The sequence below is a fragment of the Homo sapiens genome, chromosome 14, assembly GCF_000001405.40.
Source record: "Homo sapiens chromosome 14, GRCh38.p14 Primary Assembly".
NCBI lineage: Eukaryota > Metazoa > Chordata > Mammalia > Primates > Hominidae > Homo > Homo sapiens.
This window is the reverse complement of record NC_000014.9, coordinates 72,511,022-72,535,903: the sequence shown is the minus strand read 5'-3', so window position 1 is coordinate 72,535,903 and position 24,882 is coordinate 72,511,022. Positions and strand designations below refer to the sequence as shown.

The 24,882-nt window shown below is 44.9% G+C and overlaps 1 protein-coding gene and 1 non-coding gene across 57 annotated transcripts in view, besides 5 other annotated features; both read right to left on the bottom strand.

Moving 5' to 3' along the window:
* The window catches only part of RGS6 (regulator of G protein signaling 6), a 762,695-nt gene that overhangs the window by 94,126 nt on the left and 643,687 nt on the right, over positions 1–24,882 (bottom strand). For 54 of the 56 annotated variants that reach the window (NR_135235.2, XM_024449761.2, NM_001370270.1 and 51 more), the window contains one exon: positions 17,367–17,553. Coding sequence is in view for 55 of the 56 variants with exons in the window: in XM_024449761.2 (XP_024305529.1) it covers positions 17,367–17,553 (187 nt within the window). In the remaining variant the exon portion in view is untranslated. Of the gene's footprint in view, positions 1–8,960; positions 9,072–17,366; positions 24,611–24,882 lie in introns of those variants that run through there. The other 2 variants (XM_017021831.3, XM_017021833.3) reach the window with 2 other exon arrangements.
* Positions 16,086–16,175: an enhancer, noted in NCBI's record as "active region_8686". NCBI's record gives its function as "activates an Ori minimal core promoter by ATAC-STARR-seq in GM12878 lymphoblastoid cells {active_cell/tissue: GM12878}" and the evidence as "EXISTENCE:reporter gene assay evidence [ECO:0000049][PMID:35858748]".
* Positions 16,266–16,415: an enhancer, noted in NCBI's record as "active region_8685". NCBI's record gives its function as "activates an Ori minimal core promoter by ATAC-STARR-seq in GM12878 lymphoblastoid cells {active_cell/tissue: GM12878}" and the evidence as "EXISTENCE:reporter gene assay evidence [ECO:0000049][PMID:35858748]".
* Positions 16,886–16,955: an enhancer, noted in NCBI's record as "active region_8684". NCBI's record gives its function as "activates an Ori minimal core promoter by ATAC-STARR-seq in GM12878 lymphoblastoid cells {active_cell/tissue: GM12878}" and the evidence as "EXISTENCE:reporter gene assay evidence [ECO:0000049][PMID:35858748]".
* MIR7843 (microRNA 7843) lies at positions 19,006–19,084 on the bottom strand. Its single transcript, NR_106994.1, has one exon. It is a non-coding gene; the product is annotated as a microRNA 7843 (primary transcript).
* Positions 20,633–21,133: an enhancer, noted in NCBI's record as "H3K4me1 hESC enhancer chr14:72981479-72981979 (GRCh37/hg19 assembly coordinates)". NCBI's record gives its function as "activates a minimal SCP1, AML or CMV promoter by ChIP-STARR-seq in naive H9 embryonic stem cells {active_cell/tissue: H9 hESC(naive)}" and the evidence as "EXISTENCE:reporter gene assay evidence [ECO:0000049][PMID:30033119]".
* Positions 21,668–21,737: an enhancer, noted in NCBI's record as "active region_8683". NCBI's record gives its function as "activates an Ori minimal core promoter by ATAC-STARR-seq in GM12878 lymphoblastoid cells {active_cell/tissue: GM12878}" and the evidence as "EXISTENCE:reporter gene assay evidence [ECO:0000049][PMID:35858748]".

The window sequence follows — 24,882 nt, the reverse complement described above, 5'->3', positions numbered from 1 at the left end:
ACCAGACATGGCAATGAGGAGGAACAAACTGTTCTTACACCCAACAACAACTTGGATGAATCTCAAGGGAATTAGGATGAGTAAAAAAGCCAAGCTCCAGATTATAAACTATATTATTTCATTTACATAACATTCTTGAAATGACAAATTATAGAGACAAAGAACAGATTAGTGGTTCCTGGGGTTAGAGATGAGGAAGTAGAGGGAGCAAGGGAGGTGTGGTTATAAAAGGCAACAGGAAGGATCTTTGTGGTGACAGAATGGTTCTGTATTTTGACACATCTTAACACGTGATAAAGTTGTATAGAACTAAATGCACACATACATACATGGGGCACAAGTAAAACTGGGAAATATGAATAAAATCAGGGGATTGTAGCCATGTCAGTATCATGGCTGTGATATGGTACTATAGTTTTGCAAGATGTTGCCATTGGGGCAAACTGGGTAAACAGCACAGTATTTCTTATAACTGCATCAGAATCAATACGTATCTCAAAATAAAAAGTTTAATTTAAAAAAACAGGCAATAATGCAATTGGGTCAGTTTGTGCATTTCAGGGCCACCACCTCGTCCTGGAAGGAGTTCTTGGCAACCACATCACAGGACATGTAACTAACACCCAGGAGGGGCAGGTGCTGCAGCAAGGTGCCGCCTCTTTTCCTCGGCTCCCAGGGGCATTTGTTATACATTCTGGCCTTGGCAAATAATTTCACCCCTGATTTCCAGCTAATTCCTAGAATCTTGTGGTCCCTTCCAAACAGATCTGTCCTCATCAAGGGTTGGAAAATCCTGGTCCCTTAGAAAAGAGGACTTGTCAGTGGGCAAGATTATTTATCCATTGAAGTGGAATTCAGCTCAGCTGCACAGGAAAGCTTGGCTGTTCCAAGAGAGAATGTGTTAGGAGGGAGGTTGGCCTTCACTGGGGAGGGCGGGCTTGTTAGTTAATGGCTGTCCTGGTGGAGGAAGCATCTTCCCCCATGTATGCTCATTGTTCTTCTCATGAAGCCAGACAAAGGCCCTAGTGGTGAGGGGGATGGAGAGCTGGTCAGGGAGGAGGAGAGTGCTCATCTGAGAGGCAGGACTGGTCATTAAGGACCTCTTCCTTGGTGCTCTTTCCAGGGAAGGGATCGAAGGAGGAGGCACAGACCTCCCATCAGCTGGGGGACACATTTTAGAGATGCCTGGCCAGAAAAAGACAGAGCAATGACAAGGATTCACCAAGACTCACTCCTTACCCAGCACAAAAGAAAGGGAGAGCACAGTAGCCAAGATATGGAGTCAACCTATGAGTCCATCAATGAATAGATAAATGGGTAAAGGAAATGCAGTATATAGGCATAATGGAATACTATTTGGTCTTAACAAAGAAGGAAATCCTGTCATTTGTGATAACATGAACAAACCTGGAGAACATTAGGTTAAGTGAAATAAGTCAGGTACAGAAAGACAAAATACCACTTGTCTTCACTTATGTAAGGAGACCTTGGAGGTATTGTGGGTTTGGTTCCAGGCCACCACAATAAAGCAAGTCATAAGAAATATTTCGTTTCCCAGTACACATAAAAGTTATGTTTACACTATATGTAGTCAATGATGTGTGCAATAACATTATGTCTGAAAAAACAAGGTACATACCTTAATTAAAAAATACTTTATTGTTAAAATGCTAAGGATCATCTGAGCCTTTGGTGAGTCATAATCCTTTTGCTGGGGGAGGGTCTTGTCTTGACATTGTTGGATACTGACTGATTAGGGTGGTGATTGCCGAAGGCCGAGGTGACTGTGGCAATTTCTTAAAATAAGACAATGAAGTTTGTCGCATCAATTGACTCTTCCTTTCGCAACAGATTTCTCTGTAGCATGTGATGGTGTTTGATAGCATTTTACCTACAGTAGAACTTCTTTCAAAATTGCAGTCAATCCCGTCAAATCCTGCTGCTGCTTTATCAACTAAGTTGATGTAATATTCTAAATTCTTTGTGTCATCTCAACAATGTTTGCAACATCTTCATTAGGAGTAGATTCCATCTCAAGAAACCACTTTCTTTACTCTTCCATAGGAAGCAACTCCTCATTCATTAAAGTTTTATTATGAAGTTGTAGCAATTCAGTCACATCTTCAAGCTCTATTTCTAATTCTAGTTCTCTTGCTATTTCCACCACATCTGCAGTTACTTTCTTCACTAGGATCTTGAACTTCTCAAAGTCATCCATGAGGGCTGGAATCAACTTCTTCCAAACTCCCATTAATGTTGATATTTTTACTTCTTTCCACGAAACACAAATGTTCTTAATGGCATCCACCAGAAGGGTGACTCCTTTCTAGAAGGGTTTTGATTTACTTTGCCCAAATCCATCAGAGGAATCACTGTCTGTGACAGCTATAGCTTTATGAAATGTATTTCTTAAATAATAGGACTTGAAAAGTTGAAATTACTTCTTGATCCATAGGCTACAGAACGGATGTTGTGTTAGCAGTCATGAAAACAACATTAATCTCCTTGTACATCTCCATCAGAGCTCTTGGATGGCTTGGTGCATTGTCAATGAACAGCAATATTTGGAAAGAAATATTATTTTTTTCCTCAACAGTAGGTCTCAACAGTGGCCTTAAAGTATTCAGTAAACCATGCCGCAAACAGATGTGCTGCCATCCAGACTTTGTTGGTCCATTTATAGAACACAGGCAGAATATATTTAGCATCATTCTTGAAGGCCCTAGGATTTTCAGAATAGTAAATGAGCATTGGCATCGACTTATAGTCACCAGCTGCATTAGCCCTAGCAAGAGAGTCAGCCTGTCCTTTGAAGCTTTGAAGCCAGGCATGGACTTCTCTTCTCTAGCTATGAAAACCCTAGATTTATCTTCTTCCAATATAAGGCTGCTTAATCTACACTGCAAATCTGTTGTTTACTGTAGCCACCTTCATCAATGATCTTAGCTAGATCTTCTGGATAACTTGCTGCAGCTTCTATATCAGCACTTGCTGTTTCACTTTGCCCTTTTATGTTATGGACTTGGTTTCTTTTTGTAAACCACATGAACCAACCTCTGTTAGCTTCAAACTTTTCTTCTGCAGCTTCCTCACCTCTTTCAGCCTTCATAGAATTGAAGCAAGGTAGGTCCTTGCTCTGGATTAGGCTTTGGCTTAAGGGAATGTTGTGTCTGATTTGATCTTCTATTCAGACCACTAAAACTGTCTCCATATCAGCAATAAGGTTGTTTTGCTTTCTTATCTTTTGTGTGTTCACTGGAGTAGCATGTTCAATCTTCAATAAACTTTTCTTTGTATTCACACCTAGGCTGTTTGGCATAAGAGGCCTAGCTTTCAGCCTATCTTGGCTTTCAACATGCCTTCCTCACTAAGCTTAATCATTTCCAGTTTTTGATTTAAAGTTAGAGACATGCGACTGTTCCTTTTGCCTGAACACTTAGAGACCACTGCAGAGTTATTAATTGGCCCAATTTCAATATAGTTGTCATTTCAGGGAGTAGAGAGGCCCAAGGAGAGGGAAAGAGATGGGGGAATGGCTGATTTGGTAGAGGAGTCAGAAAACACACACACACAACATGTATTAAGTTCATTGTCTTATACGGGTGCAGTTGGGCACCCCCAGAGCAATTACAATAGTAACATCAAAGATCACCAATCACAGATCACCATAAACATATAATCATACTAAAAAAGCTTAATGTTGCAAGAATTACCAAACTGTGACACAGACACAAAGTAAGCACATGCTATTGGAAAAATGGTGCTGATAGACTTGTTTGATGCAGGGTTGCCACAAACCTTCAATTTGTAAAAAACACAGAATCTATAAGGCATAATACAGGGAAGTGCAATAAAACGAGATGTGCCTGTATATGGAATCTAAGACAATCACACTCACAGAAGCAGAGAGCAGAATGGCCATTCTACCAGGGGCTGTGGGGAGTGAGAAGGACTGGGAAGACATTGGTCAAAGGACACCACATAATTAGAGAGGAAGAATAAGTTGAAGAGGTCTCTTGAACATTACGGTGACTACAGACTGCAGTTAAAAACAATATATTATATACTTGAAAATTGCTGAGAGTAGATTTTAAGTGTTCTCACTACAAACAATAAGTGTATGAGACCACGCATATGTTAAATGGCTTGATTTATCCATTCCACAATGTATACATATATCAAAATTGCATGCTATATACCATAAATACATACAACTTTTACATCTCAATTTAAAAAATAAACAAAAAGAAAGTGAAAGTAGAAAGCAGAAAATGTCTTGGTCACATGTGAGGCCCTCTTGGTTTCATCTTTGGTTGGAACCCAAAGAATCTTGTTTTGGGACTTATTCTTCCTGAGATACCCTCATATTTACAAAAGCAGGGGAGTTACCCCACTAATGGGAATAAACCCACTGGAAGGACTCAAATGAAATTAAATACTGACTTGGTTCTTTTTTTTTTTTTTTTTTTTTTGAGATAAAGTCTTGCTGTCACTCAGGCTGCAGTGCAGTGGTGTGACCTCAGTTCACTGCAACTTCTGCCTCCCGGGTTCCAAGTGATTCTCGTGCCTCAGCCTCATGAGTAGCTGGGACTACAGGCATGCACCACCACACCCAGCTGATTTTTTTATTTTTAGTGGATACGGGGTTTCCCCATGTTGGCCAGGCTGGTCTCGAACTCCTGGCCTCAAGTGATCCACCTGTTTCAGCCTCCCAAAGTGCTGGGATTACAGGCGTGAGCCACCGCGCCCAGCCTCCAATAGTGGCCTGGTTCTGAGACTACTTGGATAGTCCAGACGTATTCTGATTTAACAAACTTAGTGTGAACACACTTCACTAAGTGTTTTTCTGAAAATTTCAGACAAAAATCCAGCTCACTCTTGTTTAAGTGCCTTGAGGAACAGTATGTGTTTATTTTTACAGATGCATACTGTCTAGCACAGGCTCAGATATTAGTCGAATATACATGTTCACTGAAATGCCGGTTGGAATTTAATGTTCAGCAAGTTTACTGGCTCCATACTTGCTTGGGTTTATGACTGCATCAAGTTCCTGCTCTCTGCACAGAAGGAGAATGAGGATTACACTCAGCTCAGAGGAGCATGAAAATCTTGGCTCAGCCATCCCTAATGGTCTCAGAGCCCAGGCTGAGGGGTATCATTGGTCTTTGGTTTCATTTGTTGTCTCTTTAAATTGTTCTAACATTTTCTTTTTGAGATGGAGTCTTCGCTCTGTTGCCCAGGCTGGAGTGCAGTGGTGTGATCTTGGCTCACTGCAACCTCCACCTCACGGGTTCAAGCAATCCTCCTGCCTCAGCCTCCCAAGTAGCTGGGATTACAAGCATGCACCACCACGCCTGGCTAATTTTTATATATTTTTTAGTAGAGACGGTGTTTCACCATGTTGGCCAGGCTGGTCTCAAACCCCTGGCCTCAAGTGATTCACCCGCCTCGGCCTCCCAAAGTGCTGGGATTACAGCCATGAGCCACCACACCCAGCCAAATTATTTTAACATTTAAAGCTTAGGTACAAATGTTAGTCCACAGTAAAAATGACACACTGTCTCCTTGTGTCAGGCATCACTTCTTTCTGGCTGACAGAGCCAGGTGGCTCCTGAGTCATCTGGAAAAGCCTATCATAGTGCCTGGAACCTCTCCAGACCCTTCTCCAAAGCAACAGTTCCCTGCTTCTTGTTCTGACTTCTCAATATCTCACAATACCCCTCTGCTGCCCCATAAGAAGTGAGGAAACCTCCCCTAGACAGCTCTTCTGGCTCAGCACCAAATTCCCCTCTGATCTAGCTAATTCTTATAGACTCATTGTAGGAGGGAAAAGCCTGGTTCATGAAGAGAAAGAACTTGTCAATCAAAATAGAGCAGGATAAAGCAGATGTCTAAACACTGAATCAAAATAATATTCAGCAAATAGTTATTGAGCATTTACTAGGTGCCAGGGCACTGTGTCAGACGCTGAGATAACAGCCTGAATAAGACAAATCGGCCTCTAATGTCATAAAGCTTAGATCCAACTAGGCAAGATAGACTTTGCACAGAGACGCATTTAGCCAATTCAGCTAAGGGCTGCAGAGATGAAGTACAGGCACAGGGTATGAATGTGTATACCTGGGGATGACCTATCCTGCTACAAGTGGGGAATGGTGGTCTCTCAACCAGAAAGATCCTCATCAAAGTGGAAAGATCTGTGTAGAGAGACAGAAATATGTCTCCTAATTCTGTGGGATTGCAGGGAGGGGGGGGTCTGGTCTTGCAGCTTCACAGTCTGATCAATCAGAGGAGAAAGACAATCAAGGGGCAAGGAGGAAAGGGCAGCAGAGAGAGGTTGTCCACTCTCAGGAGGCCCATGTGGGTCAGAGGAGCAGTTTGGACACCACTCTCATCTTCTCCATGTCATATGGCCAACTCCAAAGCCAGATACCAAGGTGAGGATGGTGTGGGGAGAAAGATAAGAGAATAAGAACACAACCTACTGGAGCATGAGTCCCATGAGGTGGTCTCACCACACCAATCCCACTGCTAGCCCTTGACCACCATTATAACAGCCTGAACCACCCTTCAAGGGAACAACCGACCACAGCAGTAATAGCAGATCCAAGGTGCGGGTCTGAGAAAACCAGAATCTGAGAACCTCTGCGGATCTCTCACACCCCATGCAGACCCCATGGCTTCAGCCTCCCTCTGGCCTGGGCCTCTCTTTTCCACAGCCTAGGGATCTGTGACTCTTTCCTGCCCTGCAACTCCTCCCCCAAGCAACGAAATGCAGCCTTTGATGATCCAGTTATTGAACTGTGTTCTTTCCTCCTTGCCAGCTTTGTCTAGGAAACACAAAGACAGTAAACGGGGGTGGGTGAACAGAAAACTGAGATTTTTCTGGGAATGAGAATTAAGATTGGACTCAGGGTCTTTGGCCATTTCCCAAATGCAATGAGTTTATCACTGCCAGGGACAGCAAGTGTACAAAGCTCTTGGCAGTGACCTCTGCTGATTTATGGGGGTGCTGGTTTGTTTCCCCTATTCTGCAGACAACCAGTCTTAAGGGAAATGTATATTCAGAATCTGCAAAGTGCAAGGGAGTCACTGGCAAAACCAGCCAAGCCAAGCCCCTGCTGAGAGTAAATTCCTAAGGGGATGGAGAAAAAGCGTGCTGGCCCGCGTGCTCTCTCTCTTTCTTGCTTTGTCTTATTTTGTCTTGCCTTATCTTCTTCCCTCCTTTCCCACTTCCTTCCTCTCTCCCTCCGTCTTTCCCTTTCTTGCCCTCTCTCTCTTTCTCTTTCTACAACAGAGATGACTAAGCTGACTATGAACAAGCAGAACTACCAGAGGTCACTCCCACCTTGGGATGCAGTGGAGAGGCACCTCCTCCAAAGAAGATGAGGGTGGTTCTCTATATGATGATAAACCAATGCTCTAGGGCTCTAAATCACACCAGTGTCTTAGCCAGAGTCCTCAGCAGTGGGAGGCATCATATCCCTGGAGTGGTTGATGGCTGTAGTGGAGGGATGTTACCCCGATGAGCCACTCCACCTTCATTTTCTCTTCTTGGGCTAGGAGAGCTCTGCTTTCCTGGAATGCTAAGGCAGGATCAAAACCAACTAGAATCAATAGAGTCCGAGGCACAGTGAGAGCTGGAGAGAGCATGCAGTACAAACTGTCTCAAAACCACACCTGCTGAAAATCAATATTTTGCTCAGAGAGTCCTCATTTGGAAATCTCCTTTCTTTTTAGACAAAACACAGTGACTCTCTCAAGAGGTGGGGAAGCTAATCAGACAAATGACTGGGGCCCTGGGCCACAAGCATGCAGCTGAACTCCTCAAGAAGACCCTTATGTCCTCCCCTGTGCTGTGGGCTCCTAAGACAGCACAGATCTCATTTCCCAGCTTCAGAACGTCCTCCTGGAGTGGAGAACCACCCAGCTGGAGCATTGCACAGCGGCCAAGAGCTCTTCTTGTGATTTTCAAGTATCCTATTTTTCTTTTTGTAGGTGTGTGTGCCTCATCTCTGCCCTCCATACCTAAGCTGCCTAGAATCACATCCAGACTTTGGGAGCTTTTGGGTCCCATGTAGTCTCTTGAAGGAAAATGAGGCTGTGTGGACAGAATGTGGTGTTGCTGTGTGGGGTGATGGACAAGGAACTGGACTGGGAGCCAAAAGCTCACCTTTCTAGTCCTGTCAATCACACAATTAAATGTGGAAGTAGAAGTGGAAGCACTACAAAAATGATTATACATGTCAAGTGGCAATAATAATTTCATGCTGTGACTGTCCTTGCAAGGGATGATTTGTGGGATGAGAGAGATTCTGGAGAAAGAAGCAAAGAGGATTTGGGAGCAGAGTCTAGCTGTACTATTTCAGTTGTTGGTGATGTTTGCTCTGAAGTAGTGCTTAGGTTTAAACACCCCCATTTTACAAATGAGGATACTGAAACTCTAACAGGTCAAGTGGCTTACCCAAGGTAAGTATGGAACCAGGATTTGAACCCAGAGCTCTGTGACCCCAAAGCTCACGCTCTTCTCACATTGAAGTGCTGCTTTTCATTGTCCTTTACTTGGGTCCCAAGGGGAGTCAGTACTGGTTGGCTGAGACAAAATCCCTCCATGTGTGGTTGCAGGAAAGTTAGGAGCCTCCTCTTGAGTCCTAAATCTGAGTCATCCTAGTAGAAGGTGTGGCCACTGCTTACAATTCCCTTTTGGGTACTATTCACTATCACTGCTGTTAGCAATGGTAATGGCCAAGACACCAGGGATGGCCCAGGCTCTGGTTTCTCACTTAACAGGCAGTCCATGCACAACTTGCCATCTATACTTGAAGGGAGCTATGAACATCTTTGGAAACAAGGTCCCAACCTGGTAAAGCGTTGAGGGCTGATGGGCCCTTAGGAAGTCATAAGTCTGTATCCTTGAGTCTCACCTTTCAAGAGACTTGAATATGTTTGACCAAAGGTCCTCAGACCTTAGGCATGGTTAGCTGAAGCCTAGGGAAAATGAGCTTTTCTTCAGCACGGTTCTTGCAGGACAGCACAGTGGTGAGGACTTGAAGTGGATCACAAATCAGTATCTGCTTAACAAACATAGAAGAGGCAACAGAAAAGATACCGCAACAATATGGACATCCACATAAGTGAAAGATAGGAAGCTGTTGCTCCTTCTGGATGTATCTTTGGATGAACAACCTGGGATCATGTGGATCTAAAATGGGAAGTGCCCCCTTTGGATTTCCTTAGCCTCCTAAGTAGGACATGGGAGCCCTGTGTTTCCACATAAGGCATCATTCCAGGTCATAAGAGGATGTGAGAGTAAATGATCCTTTGCCTTTACTCTGCAAAGCATCTATAAAAACAGATTTAATTTAACTGGCCAAAGGGCACAGTATTTTCATGCTGTTCAATCCCTACTCTTAGAAAAGTGTAGCTTCAAAGACAGCTTTGCATATTGTCTTTCACCTACCCAAATACCAGGGATGTTAACTTAGAAAAGTGTTTTCCTGGCCAGGCGCAGTGGCTCATGCCTGTAATCCCAGCACTCTGGGAGGCCAAGGCGGGCAGATCATGAGGTCAGGAGATCGAGACCATCCTGGCTAATATGGTGAAACCCCGACTCTACTAAAAAAAAACAAAAAATTAGCTGGGCGTGGTGGCAGGTACCTGTAGTCCCAGCTACTCAGGAGGCTGAGGCAAGAGAATGGCGTGAACCCAGGAGGCAGAGCTTGCAGTGAGCCGAGATTGTGCCACCACACACCAGCCTGGGTGACAGAGCAAGATTCCTTCTCAAAAAAAAAAAAAAGAAGAAAAGTATTTTCATTTCCTCCTCAAGGAGGTCATGGGGTTTGGTATAAGGAATCTATGCTTAGATGTAGCAACCAAGAAATTTTGGAATTGAACTCTTTGACGTCTTCTCTCAGTAGCTGTCAGGAACTACTAGTCTGTGTGGTAATAAACAGAACTGGATCACAAATGACTGATTTATTCTCTGCAAAATGCATCCCTCCCTCTGCTGTTCATCTCCCAAAAATAAAACCACCTACAGGATAAAATGAGCAACCCCCAGAGCAAGCAGTGTCACAGAATTCCTTATTAAAATATGTCTGGCATGAGAGTCTACCAGGAAATGCCTTCCAATAGAGGATTAATACCAGGAAACTTGGTGTGGTCTTGTGATACTGGCACGCAATGCCGCCACCTCCACCACTGGAGCAAAGATGAACAGCTGGGAAGACTTCTACTTCTGAATAATCTGGGCAAACCTAAAATCATACTCTACTGGGCTTTGGCTTTTAAACAAAGCAAATGGTAGAAACCTTGCATTCCTTAATCAAGTTGCATTTAAACATCTACACTTAGGTAATAATATAAACGTTTTGCTAGAGGCTTCTTGTCTGCTCATGGCGGATGTGGACTTGACGGTATCTTTCTCAGCTCTTTTATCACGCAGACCTCATTCTGGCCTTGAGCATGCTCTTTGATCCTTTTGTGAGTTCATCAAGGCCAAGCAGAGCTGTGGTAAGTCAGACCCAGGGCCGCTTAAGGAAAGGAACCTCCCTACGCATTTGTATATTCACAGCGCCTAGAACATCTGACACTTAGTGGGTATTCCAAGTTTTGCTGAATCGGCACATTGTAGGAATTTAATTTAACCTGCTTTTCTTGACTATCTACTAGGTGTACTCCCCAAGGTTGTCTCTCCAAAGTTGAAAGCTAAGGGACAAATTGTCCCCCGCTTCTTTGATAGGCACAGCTGAAAATGTTATAATTCTGGAATGAATTATCAGCATTTAGCTGACATTCAGCATTCAGCATTACCTTTGTGATGCAGGAACTTATAAAAGGTAAAGAAGACCAAATTTCTGCTCCCATGAAATAACTTTCAAATCCAGAGGTCTGGAAGGCCCAGACACTCCAGGTACAGGGCAGGGTGGGGCATCTTAGCAGGTACCACAGGTCAGGAAAGCAGTGGGGCTGGGACGAGTAGGAAGGTGAGGTGGGAAACTGCAAGGATCAAAGCCAATGGGGCTGGACTGGCTTGTCCTATTCCACTATCAGTCCACTTAAAGGACAGATTTCCAATCCAATCCTATCTCAATGAAGTGCTTTCTTAGGTCTGGTTTGTTTTGTTTGAAAATGATGTGCTTTTAGATAAGCTCTGCCTGATGGCAAAAAAAAAGCCATCTGGGCCTCCTATTTCTCATGTTATTTCCCTCTGCACAGAATATTATGCCGCACGGGTCAAGGTTTCCCAACTTGAATGGGAGAATGGATGTTCATGACATGGGTGTATGGGCAGATGGACAAATGATTGAATGGATCCAGGGAGATAGTCCTTGGAACATCCTTGGTACTCTGAGATTTAAAATGGAAGCCAGGCAGCCACTGTGCTGGCATTTGATTTCTATCTCATCTAGAGCCTGTGAAGGCTTTGGAAAGAGACAAATGCCCTACAAGGAAGCTGAAGGTTCTCAATACTTCCTGTGGTTTAATTCTCTCCACCAACAACTGCCAGCAGAGCTTTATATGACATGCCCCAGGGTTCAGAACTCTCTCTTGGCTCCAGCCTACTATGCCCATCACCATGGGATTCACCATCTTCCAGGTAAAAGCCTGCAATGCTTTGCTACTGTCTTCAGGATGAGAAGCTCAAATTCCTTAGGATGCATTCCAGGACCTGAAAATTCAGTTCTTACATCCTTTTCTGGCATTTTTTCCCATCTAAGGGCAGATATTTTGAGAGAATTTCTTTTGGATCCAGCTTAGAATTACGAAACCCCAGAGAGTACTAAAGTCATTAATTTTTGTGAGTTCACACTTACAAATATATAGCACTTTTTACTTTTTCAAAGATTTTTCAGGGCTATTAGCTCATCTGATTTCTCTGAAATCCTTAGCGGGCTGTAAAGAAGACATCACCCCCATCACCCAGATGAGGAAACTAAGGCACAAAAGGTCAAGGCCCTTGCCTCAGACCACATAGCAAGCAGGTGACAATGCAGGTCCTTTAAGGCCACATGGTTGGGAACAGAGAATTAAATCCATAGCATAAAGAACTGAGTCCTTAAAAAAAAATAATCATGGCCTATATATTTTTCTCCCCTCACAAGGCTAAATCTATGAAATTGGAACAACACAGCAAACAGCTGAGGACTATGGTCACAGCCCACAGACCTTTATGGAAGATTTGGTCTTGGCCCAAAATTTTCAAAAAAGCTAAACGGATCAGCAAAACACAAGTACAAATGCTGGGCCCACGATAACAGGGTGTCTTGTGAAATATTTCCACAGGAAGCAAATACAGGCAATTAACTTGGCTCTAACAATGCGTGTGGTCAAATAAGAAACAAAACCCATTGGAGAGAGGCTGCACCCCACCCCCAGTCCCTGCTTCCAGTGAATCCATAAATCTGGCTGTACTTTCTCTCAGGCTACTGAGCACTAATATTAAAGCATATGACCACTGCAGGGGGTTTATGAGAACCATCATGACCAGCTGAGGAAGCCACCCAGAGCCCCTGAGCCCCATGGGCTGAGGTGTTAACATCCCCATTTAACAGAGAGGCAAACCGAGAAGAGAAAGTTTAAAGAACTTAAATGGATAATTCTAGAAGGAACTCCCAGACTCTTGGCCTTTCTCTAGGGACTAGAACTTCTCCAGGTCTCAGTGCGACCACCAAGCCCTCAGCACTAACAATCCAGGGACAGTGTGGTCTGAGCAGAATCTTGGCCAGCAAGCGAGGACATCTGAGTGCAAGTCCTGGCTGGTCATGGGCTGCTGAGGATTTTAACCTCCTTTTTATACCTGGGAACTTCTGAACTGCACCTACTTTGCTGGGGCAGGCAGCCAGTGCTGTCCAGGAAGGTAAGGCAGTGTGAGTCTCTTGGCACCTGCTGACCTCTGCTCCGCAACACTCAATCCTCATGTAGAAACATTCACAATTCAGATTGCTGTGTTGCCATGGCTGCGTCAAAACCAAGTCTCCTCTAACTTACTCTCCCCCAAAAACTGAAGATCCTTTATGCCCAATCCTCTATCCTGTAGCTTTCTGGATTTCTTGAAGCATTTCAATAATTTTCATGACCATGTGCTAGATTTTATTTAGCACAGGGTCACAAACTACAGTCTGTGATTCAAATCTACAGATACAGACCTGTGATCTAGATCTTTACATCCCATGAGCGAAGAACAGTTTTTATGTTTTTAAGTGGCTGAAAAAAACTAAAAGAAGAATTGTATTTTGTGAAAAATTATATGAAATTGGATTTCACTGTTCATAAATAAACACAGCCATAGGTCCTCATTTATGTTGTTTACATTGCTATGTTGTTGCATTGTAGCTGCTTTTGTATGCAGAATCGAATAGTTGTGACATAGACCACATGACTCACAAAGCCTGCAATGTCTACTATCTGGCTCTTTTTAGGAAAAGTATAGTTTTTTAACTGACCCCTGTTTTAGGTAAAAGGCAGGTTACAGGATCACGCTATTTGCAAAATCGCCCTGTTGTGGAATGAATGTTGTGTCTCCCTAAATTTCATATTGTTGAAGCCCTGATCCTCAGTGTGGTGGTACTTGGAGGTGGGTCTTTTGAGAGGTAATTAGGTTCAAATGAGGTCATGAGAGAGGCCCTTATGACGGGATTAGTGTTCTTATAAGAAGAGGAAGAGAGACCAGAGTTATAAGGACACAGCAAGAAGGCGGCCACCTGCAAGCCAGGAAGTGAGCCCTCACCAGCAACCAAATCTGCTGACACCTTAATTTTGGATTTGTCAGTCTCGAGAACTGTGATAAATTTCTGTAGTTTAAGCCACCCAGTGTGTGCTATTTTGTGGTAGCAGCCTGAGCAGACCTTACACGTAGCTACACACATAAATCAAGGAAGAAAATACACCAAAATAGGGGTTATCTCTGGGTGCTAAGGTTATGTGAAATTATTTAAAAATTTTTACCAAATACATTAAACACTACGGCTTAAAAAGAGAATATTAGTGACATTAGAAAAATAAGATGGTAGTATTTACTCTGTCTTATTGTGGGCCAGACATCGTTAGTGGTTGACATGCTTCCTTTCACCTGGTCCCCATTCCACCCCTATGTGTAGGCTCCATTGTATCCCTGTTCTACAGATGAGGAAAGGAAGACTCAGGGAATTTAAGCAACTTGTCCAAGGTCACTCTGCTAGAAAGGAACACTTTGTATATTTATGGTGGAAATACACTTCAGAAGCAATAGGAAATTGGTCTGAAAATAGGGATTGGCTTAGGAAGAGTGTTTTATTTGAATTCATGGGAGACTAATCCTAGCAGATAATGAAGAAGATGGGGATGCTTAAGACATCCTCATGTCTAGTCTAGATTGCTGTAGAAATTAGATAGAATGTATTTAGAAGTACTTGGAAAATGGTAGAGCACTGTAGGTTGGATATTGAGATACTTGTCAATATGTAACCTTCGTTAGGCTGACTTCCCCACTTCTTCCATCAAAACTTTCTTGAAGTAGAGACAACATAAATGTCCAAGAAGAGAGGACTGGTTGACTAAACTATGGTGCCTCCACACAACGGAATACTATGCAACAATTAAAGAACCAGGCGATAATCATACTGTTGCTGTATTTTTAGCATTGTGGTTTAGAGACTGCTCTGTGTAGTATAAAGCAAATGAGTAATTATGCTATCATCCAGTGCCCTTGAAAGTCAGGATTGTCAGCATAGAGAAAAGAGGCACAGGTGTAAGAAACAAGCGGTTAAATAAAATCCCCTGTAGGTCAGAATTTGAATTAAAAGTATCAGTATGAACTCAGGATGTATTTTTATTATAAACAGCAACACATTTCCTAGCTCTGTCGACTGAAAAGGGCTGGAAATGATAAACAATCCAGGAACAATGAAACACTCTAAGTGCCTAGATTTTAGTCTCTAAATACCATTTCTCACTAAGAGGAATCAGGGATCCTTGGAGAAACAGCTTATTCTGGGTAAGGGCAAAGACTGGAATATCTTAGCTTCCCTGCTATTTGGATGATGTCAAAGATCACTCTTAGGGCTGTGTCAGAAAGAGCCAACTGGCCAGAGATGGCCCAATCCAAGCATCAATAAAAGTAATCAGCAAAATGGATTAAAACATAGCATATATGTTTAAACTCATGAGTTTACAAAGATAGTAAAACCAAAATAGACCCTAATGTTTACCATAGGAAGATAATAGCAAACCACTCATTTTGAAAACTGGCAAATGAAGGGAGAGAATCAAATATTTATCCTGCTTTTCTTATGTGAATTGTACTGCTAGTTAATACCATAGTGGTGGAGGGAAGTTTCTCTTTATGAAAGTATTCCAGCTAATAAGTGAAGAAAGAATAAAATTAGTACGTTGTTGTTTTGTAACCTCTAATTAACTAATGGATATAAGCGATAGACATCAATATCTGCAAAAAGGTCAAAAAGAGAGGTGGCTAGACATGTGCCTTCTGATAGGAGAGCACCACACAATCCATGAAGTGGTTTTGTCCATAAAAATCAAACCTAAATCTGATTAAATATCTTATAAAACGAATTTATAGGAAAGAGAGATGATAGAAGAACATGCTAAATAGCACCACAGGGCTGCAATCAGAAAAATCCAGAGCTTGGAACTCTTTACAGGACAAAGGATCTAAATCCTTCATCAAATAAATTGCAAGGGGATGTGAGGAAGGGAGGGAGATAAAGGATATTGTGGCAATATTAAAACAAAAGGATCTTTTTTTTAGAGATACATATCTAAGTTTACAGATGAAATGATGCAACATCTTGGATTTGTTGTAAAGTAACCTGGTGGCAGGTGAAAAAGTAGATGGGGCTAGAGATAAAGCAAGATCAGACGTGTACTGATGATTTTTGAGGCTGGATGAGGGTCTATAAATGTTTGCTGTTTTGCTGTTTCCACTTTTCCAAGTGTTAAAAGTTTTCATAATAAAAAATTAAAATAAATCCCTCCTGATGTCATGCTTGGAGTGTTAATACTGTGCTAGATGCATCAAGGTTTTGACCAGTATCCCTCTTCTTGTGTTTCATAAATATTGGAGTTTGAGCTTCAGCTTGTTCATGCAGGGAACCCCCACGGAACTCCCCTGTCACTCTCCTCTCTGGCCATGTCAATATGGTGCTTGAAAGCATACGTACATACACATAAGCAAAAATATCTCAGCAAAGAGCTCTCATGACTCAAACATTCTGCTTTGAAGCTGCAAGGGGTATATGAAGGAGTCATGATTTCGTGATTGGCACAGGCATTTGATGGAGCTCGTGACCAGGGGGAGAGAAGTAGATAGTTATGGTGTTGAGGTTGGTAGGTGTTTCCATCTTGAAGTTCTGAGCAAATGACAAGGTAATTCTGGATGATAAGGGACACTGTTCTCATGCCATTATTTGCATTGGTGCAGCTACACTGAGTTTCCTAAATCAGATAATAATGTCTGCAAGGGGCAAACCACCCAAATTCTCTACTGGGGGCCCCAGAGGTGAGAGAAGTAAGTGGGGTCAAGGAGATAAGCAAAATCTTAAGCCCTGTCACTGGGTGTGGGATGGTGACAGGAAATAGAAATTAGGGGCCAGGAAGTAAGAAACCAACCCAATGCTTATTTTTAGAAATGGCACCTCCCAGCCGTCAAAATTTAGTCTGCTGGTTAGGGTGGTTCCTGTTTCTTTAGCCAGCATCACTAGCATCTGTGAGCATCTTAATTGTGTCCTACAGGGTTGGGAGTCCCTCCTGCAGGCTTGCTTTAACCTAGGGTTCACCCATTTGGGGCACTTTTCACACTGTTGAAGTTGCCCATTTACTTGTCTGTCTCCCACTCAACCTCGGTGAGAACAGGGGTTTTGCCTGTTCTTTGTGGTATCTTATCACATAGCGCAGAGCCTGGAATATAGATGTGCTTAAAAAATATTCACTGCAGAGCTGGAGATCACTGCGGAAGCAGTGTAGAGAGGTGGTTATCAGTGTGGGCTTCAGAGGTAGACAGATGTGGGTTTGACTCATGGCCCTGCTAACTCACTACACCCACTTCCCCAATGCTGTGTTCTGGTTTCCAGATTCTATCACTGACTTATTACAAGCCTTCAGATTTTGTAAAACACTTTGAGGCTTTCCTGGAACAAATAAAGCATATAACTGCACATTTTGGTTTCTATGTAATACATAACCCATCTAGGAAAACGATCCTGGGATTTTGCTGTGCGCCTATCTGAAATGGTTTCCACTGATGAACTTAAAAATAACCAAATCTGAAATTTTAACTACCCACAATGCCTTGAACTTGTGTTAATAGGTCAGGCAATGAAGGGGACAAATGAACACCTTATGACAACCACTTGAGTAGATAAGCAAACCTGGGCGTCTTCAAATGTATATCTCCCTCCATCTTTGACATTTTGACTGGTTATCTCATAGCTGTGAGAATCCAGGTTGATTGCACTTGGAGCCCCTGGAGCCAGAAACTCTTGCCAGATTTCTTCTACCCTCTTGGCCACATCCTGTAGGGGTTGTTTCTTAAGATCTTGGACAGCCAGCCAGAACCTGAAGTGGGAGCAGAAACACAGTCAGTTCCAGGGGGCTCAGCATCGGGATGTTGCCTGAGATGGCCCCAGAGCTGATGTCCCATGAAACCCATTCTGCTGCATCTCTCAGCCTGCCCTGATGCCACTACATGAGCTGCAAAGACCATGGAGATTGTGAAAACATCAAAGGTGTTCCTATGGTGCAGAACAGAAAAGAATTGCATATTAAAAGATCAATGTGCTTCTCGTTATCAGAACGGGATTTCTCTCCTTCTACATGAAGGTTTCTCAACCTCAGCACTATTGCCACTTCAGGCTGGATAATTCTTTGTTGTTGAGGCTATTCTGTGAAATGTAGGATGTTTAGCAGCAACCTTGGCCTCTACCCACTAGATGCCAATAGCAACCCCCCTTCCCAAGTTATGACAACTAAAAATGTTTCCAAACATTGCCCAATGTCCCCTGGGAGATGAACTCATTCCTGGTTGAGAACCCCAGTGCTACATACATGCCACCATGCAGACAGTGTGAGACCCTTTGTCAAATCTAGTTGGGATCAAGTGATGGCATCAAAATGGAGGAGAGATCCCAGAAGCAGGCAGTGTCCTGGAATCATAAAGACTATCTGTGTAAGAATGAACCAGCCATTCCTATTATAGATGGAGAAACTGAGCCAATTCACATCAGTGCTCAGCACGGTGCTTGGCAAATAGTAGGTGCTCAATATATGGGTTTCAGAGTGAAGACGGACGCATCTGGAGCAATGCTGAAGAGGCATATGTTGAAAACTTCTCTGCAGAATGGTTCTCCTTCTGCTGAGAGCAAGAGAGAAAAATCTGCTCACTTCCGTATTTGCCTCTGTTTAATCCCTCAGCATCCGCATGGGAGCAGTGAGCTCTTTTCTGCTGAGAGCAGCAGCAGCCAGAGCCAAAGCTTGGACAACAGCTACCGGGTCTTAAGGATGGTTCCCAAGGCAGCCTTGCAGCAGGATCCAGGTCTGGGTGTCATATCCTTTGCCCTGTGCATGGACAGGCCAGCTCCCCCATCAGTGAGTAAGAGAGTAGGTCCTGTGCTGGTTCCGAGAGCAGCGGGAATCACAGGTAGTCTAGTCAACAGAAAGGGAGGGACAAGCGAAGCTGAAACATGACGTGGTGGAAAGTGCAGACAGTGCATTCAATCTGTCATCAAATTTCATCCAAAGTAAGATGTACTTGTTTCTTTTTTTTTTTTTTTTAGGGTTAAACATGTTTTTCTGTTGCTGTTCAGAGAAATGTCTTTGGAGCCAAGTGCATGGCCCAAAGGTGCCACTCAGTGGCAGACTGGAGTAATGCAACCCAATTTCTGCAAGGCAAGACGACTGTGTGTGTGTGTGTGTGTCCCCAAATGCTGGGCTCCAACTCTTCCCCTGATTTGCCATTTTTTGCCATTTAGGATTCTGATGATCTCCTTAAAGGAACCTCTCAGCGACCCTGCAGAGCCAAGCGTAAGGCAGAGAAGGCTTCATGACTTCCATCAGATCAGGAAGCTGGCTCTGCCCTCATCCTGTCTACGCCATATCTTGCCTTGGTGTACCTTTCTGGGTGCCTCTCTCTTCATCTGTAAAATGGGCACTGAGTGGATGGAGGGATATGTGGCATGGCTCTGGAAAACTTCCTATGCAGACTTAACTCAGAAATGCTTTCAGGTCCTGTGAGGGGGAGCTGAGGAGGGGTCAGTGTGGTGGCCACAGGCTCAATGCTGGCCCAGTGTGATCCCTCGGATTCCAGCCTTCTCTCCGCAGGTGGCCTGGGCAGATGCTGCCGCCCAGCTCTTGCTGCTGCCATCTGGTGTCCCCTGCCCTTCCACAGCTCTCTGACAGCCACAAGTCCTGGGTGCTCAGGTCCTTCTGGCTTCTGGGTGAGAGGAAAGCAGTCGTGTTTCTTTATCCAGAGTCCAGAGAGGGTGGGGAAGGAAGGGCTTGAAAGGAGCTGTTCCCCTACCTCATTGTTCAGGTGGGCCCTTGACTCTTGAGCTGGGGCATGGGTCTCCTCCATCTCCCAGGCCTGCCCTAGGTTCTGTAGGGCTCTCTGTCCACTCTCTCAGGTCTGCTGTGAAAAGAAGGAAGTGGCCGGGAGGCTTGCCAAGTGAAAATGGCCATCTGCTGGTGAGAGTACCTACAAGGCTTTCTCTGCCTGGAAGGCCATGTCTGACCAGTAGGTGAAAGATGCGGGGAACCTGGCTCTATAGGAAGAAGCCAGTGTTGGCTTTTCCAAGGCCCAGAAGGGGTCAAATGTCCAGAGACGAAGTCAGTGAGGCTTCCTCAGCCCCATGCTAGGCAGACAGGAGAACCAGGTTCACAGAGGGAGGCCGTCTGGGCTGAATCCCTGGCTGGAAGCAACCTTCTGGGTCAGCGTCTTCCCACGCCCCCTGGGCCCCTGCAACTTCTCACACAAATGGATGACACCTGGGTGATTTCCTGCCCCCTCAATCAATGCCACATGGGAGGTCACTTTCTGTCACCTCTGTCAGCACTGAGGAGGAGCTGCTGAGCCCCTGTGGGAAGGCCCTGAGGACCCTGGGAGCTCTGCAGGCTCCCTGCGGTTCCTGAGGGCTCAGGGTCCTTTTTGCAGGATGATTTGGGTGCCACATGAAAATGTACATCACTCAGCTGGATATAGAGATGACCGGAGCTGATGGAAATACAAATTTCATAATCAATTTTTTTGAGACAGGGTCATGATCTGTCACCCAAACTGGAGTGCAGTGGCTACATCTCGGCTCACTGCAACCTCCGCCTCTCAGGTTCAAGCTATTCTCCTGCCTCAGCCTCCTGAGTAGCTGGAATTACAGGGGCATGTCACCATGCTCAGCTAATTTTTGCATTTTTAGCAGAGATGGGGTTTCACCATGTTGGCCAGGCTGGTCTTGAACTCCTGGCCTCAAGTGATCCGCCCGCCTTGGCCTCCCAAAGTGCTGGGATGACAGGCGTGAGCCATTGCACCAGGCCGCGGAATCAAATTTAATAAACTTTTATGTAAAAATAAAAAGGTTTTCTTTGTCACATAAAACCAAGAATTTTTTTAAGTACAAGTGAAAACAACAGGCATGCTGGAGGAAGAGGAAGGGGAGGGGAGAGAAAGGGAGGGAAGGAGGGGGAAAGGGCAAGAAGGGAGAGGGGGAAGGTATGGGGTAACATTCCCTAGACAGCAGTTTTCTCTCCCTGCACACACTGGGGACTCTCCCTGGCCTTCTGTCTGCCTTGGAGTTGACCTGCCTTGTCTCTCTCAGGCAACAGCAAAACTGCTGTCACAGCAGCATCCTGACATCCCGTATGTGTTTACCATCACTGGTTTTGAGGAACCTTTGTGTCAATTTGAAATTCAGAACAGGCTTTGGTTAGTGTTGGCCATCTTCGAGCCCCACAGGCCTGAGCTGGGAACTCAGAGCCCAGGCCACATTCCCCGCTGCAGAGAGCCACAGCAGCTCCTCTCTGCACATCTGCTGCCCATGGGAAGCCCCTTGAAGCTTTGGAAGCTTCTGCTCTTATAAAAAACCTGCAGGTACCGCTCCTCCCCAAGGGCAGCGGCAGGGAGTGAAATGCCAGCAGCTGCATCAAATCCATCCATCCTGCACTGAGCCTCCATGGCTTGCAGCAGAAGGGCCGTTGTGACTGGCAGGCCACAAGGACTAATATCTGGGAGACCACCTGTCCTGACCTGCCCCTGGTCTCTGCCAATTGTCATAGCTGCAGTAGGGAGGCAGCCCCTGTGCGGGCATTTGATCCGTGTTCATGACTTAGAAATGCTGGCGGGGAAACTAGCTTTTGGAGCGAGGCAGCCTGGGCTCAGATACCACTGGGGCGAAGCAGTGGAGAACAGGGCTGGAGGACCATCCAGGGGCTGCCCCAGTGGGAGCCTCCTTTCTCCCTAGAGGCTTTCAAGGAAGAGGATTTTCTCAAGGCTGGCTGGGTAAGACAAACCATTTGGCCCTTGATCATTCTCCATCCTACCAGGAGGTCTGGGCAGGCCCTCAGTCACCAGTTTACATATCTTTTCATAAACTAGAATTTTCATGGGTTAGAAAATACAGCTTTTGGTTCGCTCCCAGAGAAAAAGCAAACTCCAGGAGAGAAGAAAGTGTTTCTATGCCCTCTGCTGGTCAACCAGAGACGTAGGCAGCAGAGCTTAAACTTGGTTTAGTTCCCGGTGGGGCTAAAATTCCGGGGTGCCTACGTTAGTAACCACCCCCAGCACCACTGAAGCTGAGTTCTGTTCACTGGGCAGTGACTGAAACACTGCAGATGGTTGTGGTGTCGTGGGAGTCACCTCTGTTCCTATTAATCATGGGTTTGGTAAGTGGTGGATCCTGCTGGGCCTAGTGAACCTTCTGAGGTCTTCCTTGGACTCAGGGCAACTGCCAGAGACAAGAGCTCTCGAGATGAACCTGGTGCCCCACTGTGTTCTCTTTTAATTGCTTCTCCCTTCAGCCGACACTGTGTGGAACTCGGATCATCAATCTGCAGGTTAGAAGAACAACTACCTTCTCTCAGGAGATGTTACAGCTCACAAAAAATGTACGGGGGACACTCTTTGCTGTGGGTTTTGATTTTTAACTCATTCTCTGCTGTGCAGCAGAGGGTGTCAAGCCAGGGAGGACAAAGATTTGTGTAGGGGAGATGTGGGAGAGGGAGCAAAGATGGGAAGGAGTGACTGTCATTATTCTGGGAAAATGCACAAAGCAGGAAGAAGGATGAGGCCAAGAAACTGAGCGGAGCTCCCTGCATCAGAGCTGTGAGGCCCCTGCCTTGTGGACAGAAGCCATGAGCATTCCCAAGGCACTCAACAAACAGCTGTCTGTGGGTCCACTCGGTGCAAAGGGAGCCTGCACCCAGCTCAGGTGGGTCAGAAAAGGAGAAAAAGAGGTAGACCCTGCCACAGAGAGCTCACAGCTTCAGCAAAATGCGCTGCTGGTCATACCCCACCCAGTCCACAGAGATGATGCCCCCACCCTCATCTCACAGACCCACCCAGAAGACACTGATCAAAGGGGATGTCAACTTCTATTACATCATCATAGAAATTGTTCCTTAAAGGATCCAGGGTGACACTTTGGGGCTCCTCCATTCCGCATTCTGAAGCTCTGATAGAAATTCAGCCACTTGGCTACTTAACTGGCACCCCGTGGGTTGTGCAAGAATGTTATGATCTAAGCAGCCCTTTCACTGGAGAGATGAGAGGGAGCACAGGAGGACAGAGGAAGTGGAGAAGCACTTTGTAATTTACCCAGGTGAGTTCTGGTCAGGCTTTTTCCTGCCATGCTCCAATGCCAGTGGCCTGGGCCCCTCACCAATCCTGCGGAGAAGGGACGACTCCAGCACGGCCAACATGACAGGTTGGCAGGATCCTCAAGTTGTGCCATATTGCACAACTCCCAGGGGCCTCCATGGCATGAGCCACAGTGGAGGTGCATCTGTATAGCCATGCCTGGCCACCCTGATATTTACTCAGTCAGCTCTAAATCCGCCAGCCCTGTGCCACGGTTGGTGCTAAGATGATATCTGCAGCTGAAGGGATGAACGCAATGGAACGGGGAAAAGGCTGCCCTGTGATGGGTGACTGAAGAGTCCTACAGTTATGTGATTTACGACTGAGCTTCTCTCTCACCCACCATGTATCCAGTTATGCTGAATATCATAAAAATGGAATTTGGGCATCCAGAGAGGATTTTAGAGGCTCTTGGCTATCCTTTTCCTCCCTGCTATTCTATTTCCTTTCCTGTCATGGAGCAGGGGTGACCCTCTGAAGTCTGGATTTCTGCATTCTGGGGGTGTGGCTTAGGCTCTGGCACATGAACACATGCTCACATGCATGCTTTCACCCAAGATTAAATGTAGCCCTCCTGGCATGGGGAAAGGAGCTGGCAGAGGCGCAGGAGGTGATGGCAGGAAGAAGCACTGAACACCTGCCAGGGACACACTCCTTGGTGCACTCTGGGCTTTAAGTGTGATGCATAATTTGTGAAACTAGTCTGAACTGATATGTGGTTCTGGCTACACTCGGGACTTTCTAGAATGAATGCTCTGACCAGGCAAGGTGGCAGCTGAGCCAGTGGATGCTCCTGGGACCCTCACAATGACCAAACTCTGGGTCATTCTTCAAGCTCTCTGCAAGAGTGCAGGCAGCAGAGGGTCCTGAGGCTACTTACGGGCTTAGAGGTAGTTAGGTAAAGGGGGCCTCTATACCGCTCCATCTTGGAGACCCAAGGGGAACAGGTAAGAAGGGAAGATGAGAAGGACTCCCAGGGGTGGCTCATAGGGACCATGGAGGGGGTGGAAACTGGGACTGAGCTGGCTACACAGAGAGGCCACCTGGGTCCATCAAGCTGGCCACAGAGAGCCTTCCTTCCTATACAGGGAGGCTAGTCTGAGCACCACCCTAGTGAAGAGTATTAGAAGTCAAGCCTTCTGTTACAAATGCTTCATTAGGCATTGAAATGAAGCTCTGAGATGTGTTTGGAATCATGCTTCAGCACAAGGAAAGGCTCTTGTATAATAACCCAAAATAAGATACTCAACCTTGTCTGGTTTATAACAGACACGTGGATGCCTAGAACAGCACGCTCCATACAGCTAGTCGGCATCTACGTGTCCTCTCAGGACCTTATGGAGTGGGAGAGTCCCACGGCCACCTCTTTCCTCATTTGGTCCTCCAGCTTGGAATATTCTCTCTCCTGCTTCTTCGTCTACTATTATCCTGTGTATTCTTCAAAGTCCAGCTTATGATTTAACTACTTCAGCTTTGATTCTTCTCCTTTAAATGCTTTCGAAATGGTTCTTAGAGTTTACACTCATTTATAGACATTCAATGATTTAATCATTTCTTGTGTTTTTTCCTCAAGGACCTACAAGGTCGTTACAGGCAAAGATCACACATCTTGACTTGCATCTCTCAGCAGACTCTCACAGGGCTTGATACAGCACAGGTGTAGCATAAATATCACTTGATTGACGTATGGGACCGATGGTCTCAACTTCAAATAAGTGCATGGATGTTGCACATTAACTTTGGAGGGGCAGTCCTTTGCCCGCAGCACATGCTCTGAGTTTTTAAAGTAATACAATATTGAAACATTATTAAGACATCTTTAAAGAAAACAGCACTGGAAGATGGGTGTTACTCTACTATATAAACCAAAATCTGGTACAAAGAAAAAAGAAAGAGAGAGATTCCATCTTACCCATTAAAAAGTCACCAGTTTGCTAAGATCACTAGATAAGTCTCAGATAAGTCACATTTTCTGCAGATTTCTGATTCTTCATCTAATACCATAAAAGTCTAAATAAACAAGTTCCCAAATTTTTCATAACCAA